The sequence below is a fragment of the Homo sapiens genome, chromosome 20 (assembly GCF_000001405.40).
Source record: "Homo sapiens chromosome 20, GRCh38.p14 Primary Assembly".
Taxonomy (NCBI): domain Eukaryota; kingdom Metazoa; phylum Chordata; class Mammalia; order Primates; family Hominidae; genus Homo; species Homo sapiens.
Window position 1 is genome coordinate 29,307,477 of NC_000020.11, and position 7,866 is coordinate 29,315,342.

The 7,866-nt window shown below is 49.3% G+C and overlaps 1 annotated feature.

Moving 5' to 3' along the window:
- Positions 1 to 7,866: part of a centromere (Linear centromere model derived predominantly from reads generated in PMID: 17803354. This region does not represent an actual centromere sequence, as long-range ordering of repeats and unmapped WGS contigs is not provided by the model. For details of model production, see http://arxiv.org/abs/1307.0035.) that runs on past both edges of the window.

A 7,866-nucleotide genomic window follows, 5' to 3' on the forward strand; every position in this document is an offset into this window, starting at 1 on the left:
GGATGACAGACGTGAGCCACGGCGCCCGGCCTTAACCGTGTATTTTTAAGTCGAGGAGCTTATCAGGGAAATACGAGAAGTAGGGACGCCACACGTGACAGAGAGAAAAGTTTGAAAATGCACCTTCCATCCAAGTGGGCACCCGGCCTCGACCTCCTGAAATCATACACCGAGTGGCGAAGCCTAGCAAGGCCCATCTGTCCAGATTCCTCTCGGCCTCTCTAAGCAGGCGCTTCTCACTTTCGTGGAAGGGGCAGGGCCCTCCCCGGCACAGGGGCTCTGACAGACTGACAGAGAAAGAGACAGACATAGAAAGACAGAGATGGACAGAGAGAAACAAACAGAGAGAGAGAGAGAGAGACAGAGACAGAGAGAGAAACAGGGAGGGAGAGAGAGAGAGACAGACAGACAGACACACAGAGACAAACAGAGAAACAGAGAGAAACAGAAAGAGAGAGAGACGGAGAGAGAGAGAGAAAGGGAGGGAGAGAGAGAGACAGACAGACAGGCAGAGAAAGAGAGTAAGACAGAAGATAGACACAGTGAGAGAAACAGGCAGAGAAAGAGAGAGACAGAGACAGAGAGAAAGAAAGAGACAGAGAAAGACAGAGATGGACAGAGAGAAACAGAAAGAGAGAAAGAGAGAGAAACAGACAGACAGGGAGGGAGAGAGACAGAGAGAGAGACAGACAGACAGACAGAGAGACAGAGACAGACAAAGAGAAACAAAGAGAGAGATGGAGAGAGTGAGAGATAGAGAGAGAGAGAGAAACAGAAAGACAGGGGGAGAGAGACAGACAGGCAGAGAAGGAGAGTAAGACAGAAGACAGACACAGTGAGAGAAACAGGCAGAGGGAGAGAGAGACAGAGACAGAGAGAAAGAAAAAGACAGACAGAGAAAGACAGACAGAGACGGACAGAGAGAAAAAGCAAAAGAAGAGACAGAGAGAGAGTGAGAGCGAGAGAGACAGAGGGAGAGAATCAGACAGGGAGAGAGAGAGAGACAGGCAGAGAAAGAGAGTAAGACAGAAGATAGACACAGAGAGAGAGAGAGAGAGAGAGAAAGATAGAGACAGTCCTGGCGCGGTGGCTCACTCCTGTCATCCCAGCACTTTGGGAGGCCGAGGCGGGCGGATCACGAGGTCAGGAGATCGAGACCATCCTGGCTAACATGGTGAAATCCCGTCTCTACTAAAAATACAAAAAATTAGCCTGACTTGGTGGTGGGCGCCTATAGTCCCAGCTACTCAGGAGGCTAAGGCAGGAGAATGGCGTGAACCTGGGAGGTGGAGCTTTCAGTGAGCCAAGATGGCGCCACTGCACACCAGCCTGGGCGACACAGTGAGACTACATCTGGAAAAAAAAAAAAAAAGAAAGAGAGAGACAGACAGACAGAGGAAGAGACAGACAGAGACAGACAGAGAGAAACAAACACAGAGAGAGACAGAGAGAGAGAGAGAAACAGAAAGGCAGGGAAGGAGAGAGAGAGACAGGCAGAGGAAGAGAATAAGGCAGAAGACAGACACAGTGAGAGAGACAGGCAGAGAGAGACAGACAGAGACAGAGAGAAAGAGAGACAGACAGAGATGGAGAGAGAGACAGAGAGAAACAGACAGAAAGAGAGAGAGACAGAGAGAGAGTGAGAGTGAGAGAGAGAGGGACAGAAAGGGAGGGAGAGGGACAGACAGAGAGAGAGACAGATGGGTAGAGAAAGAGAGTAAGACAGAAGATAGACATAGAGAGAGAGACAGAGAGAGAGAGTGAGAGAGAGAGAGAGAGACTCAGAAAAAGAAATAGAGAGACAGAGAGAGAGAAACAGAGAGGGAGGGAGAGATAGAGAGACAGACAGGCAGAGAAAGAGAGTTAGAAGACAGACACCATGAGACAGGCAGAGAGAGAGAGACAGAGACAGAGATAAAGAAAGAGACAGACAGACAGAGAAAGAGACAGATAGAGAAAGACAGAGACGGACAGAGAGAGACAGAGATAAACAGACAGAGAGAAGATCCTAGCCCAGTAGCAATACAGTGCTTTTTCTTTCATTTTCTCTTTCTTTTCTTTTCTTTTCTTTTCTTTTCTTTTCTTTTCTTTTCTTTTCTTTCTTTCATTTATTTATTTATTTATTTGGAGACGAAGTCTCACTCTGTCGCCCAGGCTGTAATGCAGTGGTGCCATCCCGGGTCACTGAAATCTCCGCCTGCGAGGTTCAAGCGATTCTCCCGCCTCAACCTCCCGAGTAGCTGGGATTACAGGTGCCTGCCCCACTGCGCCCGACTCAGTTTCGTATTTTCAGTAGAGACGGGGTTTCACCATGTTGGCTAGGCTGGTCTCGAACTCCTGACCTCGTGAACCACCCACCTCGGCCTCCCAAAGTGCTGGGATGACAGACGTGGGCCACTGCGTTCAGTGTACGGTGCCATTTCTTAGAAATCACTCATGGGAATACACACTTACAGGTCATGTGTAGAGATTTTATTTATTTATTTATTTATTTTTATTTTTATTTTTTTTTTGCACGGGAAGGTGGGGGGACAGAGTTTCGCTCTTCCTGCCCAGGCTAGAGTGCAATGGCATAGGGGATTCAAGGAGTTAACCTATGGCAGAGAAGACACGTCATTCTGAGTGTAAGGGCCACAGCGAAAAGTGTCTGGGCCTGTGCTTTTAAAGGCTGAAATCCCGGCGGCTCAGGCCTGTCGTCCCAGCACTTTGGGAGGCCCAGAAAGGTGGATCACTTGAGGTCAGGAGTTCAATACCAACGTGGCCAACATAGAACAACCCCTTCTCTACTAAAAATAGAAAAAATAGCCTGCTGTCGTGGTGCGCGCCTGTAATCCCAGCTACCGAAGAAGAATCACTGGAACCCGGGAAGCAGAGGTTTCAGTGAGCCGAGAGAGCACCACTGCACCGCAGCCTGGGTGACAGAGCGAGAGAGACTCAGTCCAAAAAAAAGAAAAGAAGAAAAAAAAAGAACAGGCCCAAATACTGCATTGTCGCTGAATGTTCCCCCAAAAGGCCGGAAACCCCCTGACTCAGGTCCAGGAGGTGCTGTTTCGTTTCACTTCTTTCTCTCTCTCTCTCTTTCCTTCTCTCCCTCTCTCTCTCCCTCTCTCTCTCTTTCTCCCCTAACTTTCATTTCTTGTTCAAACATACATGTGCAAGATTGTTACATAGGTAAACTTATGACGGGGGGGTTCAGTGTGCAGATGATTTTATCAGCCGGATACTCAGCGCAGTACTCGACAGTTTTCATGTTTTGTTTTGTTTTGTTTTTTCCTGAAGCTGTCTCTCCTTCCACCCCTCCTCCCTCAAGTAGGCTCCCGCGTCTCTGGTCCCCCTCGTTCTGCCCACACAGAACTCTCATCTATAAGTTCCCACTTATGGATGAGAACACGCGGTATTTAGCTGATTGTTGCTTTCATCTTCGGTGGTGACGGTGAAAGAGGCATGACACTAAATCGAACCTTAGGACGCTCCCCTCCGTCCCCACCCCACACCCCCTCCCCACACACACCCTCATTCCTGCACCCTCTCCTCAAACGCAGGAAAGGAAGAAAGACAAATTAAAGTAAGAGGTCAGCCTCCAAGGCGGTGGAGTCAGGGGATCTCAAAGGGTGAGCAAGCGATGGGGATCGGGGGATGTCTTGGCTGAGCTTGCAACAATAGGCGACCGAGTTTCCAGCCCCACCACTCCCCCTAATCCTCAGCCGCAGCCAGCCTCTGGGTGGGGTTGCGCCTGTAAAAGCTTCTGAATGGAGAGAAGCCCAAGACGATGGAAGGCATCAGCTCCAACTCCAGGAAGGGAATAGGGCTTTGTGCATTTGAATGGGGCTTTAGAAGGCGGTGCTGCGGCTTCCAAAGTGATGCACCTCGCCCCGCCTCGCCTCGACCAGAGCGAGACTCCGTCTCAAAATCAATCAATCAATCAATCAATCAAATCATAAAAAAAATAAAAGAAAGAAAGAAAGAAAGAAAGAAAGAAAGAAAGAAAGAAAGAAAGAATTAGTACAGTGGTCGTGGTCGTGAATCATTCCCCGGAGTCCAGGTGCAGTGGCTTGCGCCCGTCACGCCAGCACTTTGAGACGCTAGGTCAGGAGGGTTGCAACAAAATGATGAGACCCTGTCTGTGGAAAAACATTTAAAAATGAAGGCCAGGCGCAGTGACTCACACCTGCCATCCCAGCACTTTGGGAGGCCGAGGAGGGCGGATCACCTGAGGTCGGGAGTTCGAGACCAGCCTGACCAACATGGAGAAGCCCCGTCTCTACTAACAATACAAAATCAGCCAGATGTGGTGGCGCATGCCTGCAATCCCAGCTACTCGGGAGGCTGACGCAGGAGAATCGCTTGAACCCGGGAGGCAGGGGTTGTGGTGGGCCAAGATCGCGCCATTGCACTCCAGTCTGGGCAACAAGAGCAAAACTCTGTCTTGGGAAAAATAAATAAATAAATAAATAAATAAATAAAAATGATCTGGGCACAGTGGCGCGTGCCTCTGGTCCCAGGTACTCTACTCTGGAGGCTGAGGTGAAATGATCGCTTGAGTCCAGGAGCGTCCACACTGCAGTGAGTGAGTTATGATGGCACCACTGCCAGGGTGACAGAGCGAGACGCTATCTCTAAATCAGTCAATCAATCAATCAGATCACTGGAAGGCACTGTCTGTGTCTTACTTCCAAAGGGTGTCTCTTTAGGCCAAGCAGGCATGGTGCCTCACACCAGTAATCCTGGCACTTTGGGAGGCTGAGGAGGGAGGAAAGAAGGAAGGGAGGAATGGAGGAAAGAAGAAAGGCAGGAAGGCAGTCAGGCAGGAAAGGAAGAAAGAAAGAAAGAAAGAAAGAGAGAAAGAAAGAAAGAAAAAAGAAAGAAAGAAAGAAAGAAAGAAAGAGAAAGAAAGAGAAAGAAAGAGAGAAAGAGAGAAAGAAGAAAGAAAGAAAGAAAGAAGGAAAAAAGAAAGGAAAGAAGAAAGAAAGAAAGAAAGAAAGAAAGAAAGAAAGAAGAAAGAAAGGAAGGAAGGGAGGGAGGGAGAAGAAGAGAGAAGAAAAAAGAAGAAAAGAAAAGAAAAGGAAAAGAAAAGAAAAGGAAAAGAAAAGAAAAGAAAAGAAAAGAAAAGAAAAGAAAAGAAAAGAAAAGAAAACGGGGAGGGGCATATCTCCTTGACTGGTGACTGCCCAGGATACAGCTGACTGAAGCCTCGACCTGTGGGGCCTCAAGTGATCTTCTCCTTATCTCAGCCTCCCGAGTAGCTGCGACTACAGGCGGGGATCAGCATTCAAAAATAATCTTACAATAATATTATAATTATTATTGAGACAGAGTCTCGCTCTGTCTCAATAATTGCCATGGCATGATCTCAGCTCACTGCAACCTCGGCCTCCCTGGTTCAAGCAACTTGCCCGCCTCAGTCTCCTGAGTAGTTGTGATTACAAGCTTATGTCACCAGGCCTGGCTAATTGTTCTATTTTTCATAGAGATGGGGTTTCACCATGTTGGCCAGCCTGGTCTTGAATTCCTGGCCTCAAGTGATCCACCTGCCTCGGCCTCCCAAAGTGCTGGAATGACAGGTGTGAGCCACTGTGCCCAGCGCAGATAATCTTTTTTATAAATTGTAGAGATGGAGTTTCGTCAGCTGCCGGGTGGAGGGTGGAGTGGGTTTTACTCAGACTGCGTACTGTGAAAGGGTAAATTAGTGTGGTTTGTGAACTAGATGTGGAAATTGTGTGTGTGTGTGTGAGAGAGAGAGAGAGAGAGAGAGAGAGAGGGAGAGACCAACCCCACAGTGAGGACCGAGAAATGGTGTTTGATTTGGGTCCCTGTCTAGTCACCTCTCTGTCTGTAGATGACTGAGGATTCCACAAATGAAGGTCAGCAGTATCTATTGAGCTGTTTCTCCCTCTCATGCATCTCATCTGTGTGGTGGAGAAAGGGAAGAAAAGAGCTTCTGATGGGAAGTTGTCTTCATGCCTGAGGAAGCTGAAGGTAGGCTGACGGGAAGGAGGGCATCCTATGTGACATTTCCATACCTGGGTACCCTTTACAATGCTGTGGCTGCCAGTCCACCCTGTACGTCAACCCACCCCCAAGAACAGCACGGTCCGGGGTGGTCCAGTCTCATCCCATCCGGCCCACCCGAGGCATCTGGTGGAAGTCTTCGCTGGAGGATTTGAAAGCAGCGTCAACGCAGTTCCCTTGGGGTCGCCGGGCAAAGGCCAGCCAGGGGAGGGTGGAGGGATGTGAAGGGGGGCGGGGCATCGGCCTCAGAACTCCCTGGAAGGTGGCAGGCAGCCGGTGGGGGACGCTGAGCCAGAGACGTCTGGCAGTGTATAGATCTGGAAGCCGCGTCAGTCCTCTCCCATACCTCTCCCATGGAAAATCCCACAGAGGCGGTGGGAGACTTGGCTGGGGGAGAAGCGGAGACAAGGGGGAGAGGGAAGGAGGCCCTCGGGAGGATTTAGCACCGAAAACCCACTCAGCCAAGCTCCCTCCCTCCTATCGGGTCCAAGGTACACCCTGGGTGGTGGCAAGAGAAACGTTCACCCCGTGCTTTTTGTCTTTCTCTTTATTTTTTTCATCTTTTCAATTTTACAAGAGATGCTCATTTCAACAACCAGACGGTGGATGTGTTGGGAGAAGTGTCAAGGCCAGGAGTTTGAGACCAGCCCGAGCAACTGAGCAACACAAGTAGGAGAACCCAGCTGAAAAAAATGAAAAAAAGAAGGAGGAGGAGGAGGAGGAAAGAAAAGAAAAGAAAAGAAAAACAAGCACCAAGAAAGTTAAAATTCTCCAAAGGTGCAGGCACAAAAAAGAGTGATTTCACGTCTTTTCCCACAACATGGATAGAGCTGGAAGCAAGTATGTACCCAGTGAACTGCCTTCTACTAACAAGTGGGAGATAAACAGTGGGTACTCACACGGTCATCATGATGGAAATAACAGACACTCCAAAGGGGAGGAGGAGGGTAAGAGGGGGACAAGGGATGAATAAATCACCCGTCGGAGACAACATTCACCACATAGGTATCGGATACACAGGAGGTCCACTTCTACATCCGAAGGCAGTAGTATGCCGATCTAACAAACAAGCACATACACCCCCTGAGTCTGTAAAATACCAAAACAACAACAACAGCACCAGCAGCAGCAGCAACAACAACAACAACAGCAGAACAGAAGCTGGAACACAAAACCACCACCACCACCACCACCACCACAACCACCACAATCACCAGTTGGGGGTTGGGGGAGGGTGGCCGCGCTGGAGGCCCTCAGGCTCAGTCCCTCGGGTTTAAAAAAGAAAACAGCAGACTCATTCCTGTCTGTAGGCAGGAAAAATCCAATCAAAGTTCTCCGTTGCTAGAAAGGGAAGTAGAATAAGGAGAGGGGCTTATTGATCTTCTTGTGATCGATCGAAACCATACATGTAGGAAAAAATTAAATACAGACAGCAACACTTTCTACACTGTACAAAAGCTTCGGAGATCAGGCGCACCACACTCCATGGGGCTTGTGCCATTAGAAAGAAAAGGCAGGGCCGGGCCCCAGTGGCTCACGCCTGTTATCCCAACACTTTGGGAGGCCGAGGCGGGCGGATCACGAAGTCAGGGTTCACCATCTTGGCCAGGCTGCTCTCGAACTCCTGACCTCGTGATCCACCTGCCTCAGCCTCCCAAAGTGCTGGGAGTACAGGCGTGAGCCACCACCGCCGGCCGTTTTTGTTTTAAAAACTACAGACAAGCTGGGTGCAGTGGCTCAAGCCTGTAATGGCTTCACGTTGGGAGGCTGAAGTGGTTGGATTGCTTGAGCCCCGGAGTTCAAGACCAGCTTGGCAACATAGTGAGACACCGTCTCTGCAAAAAAAAGCATTAAAGA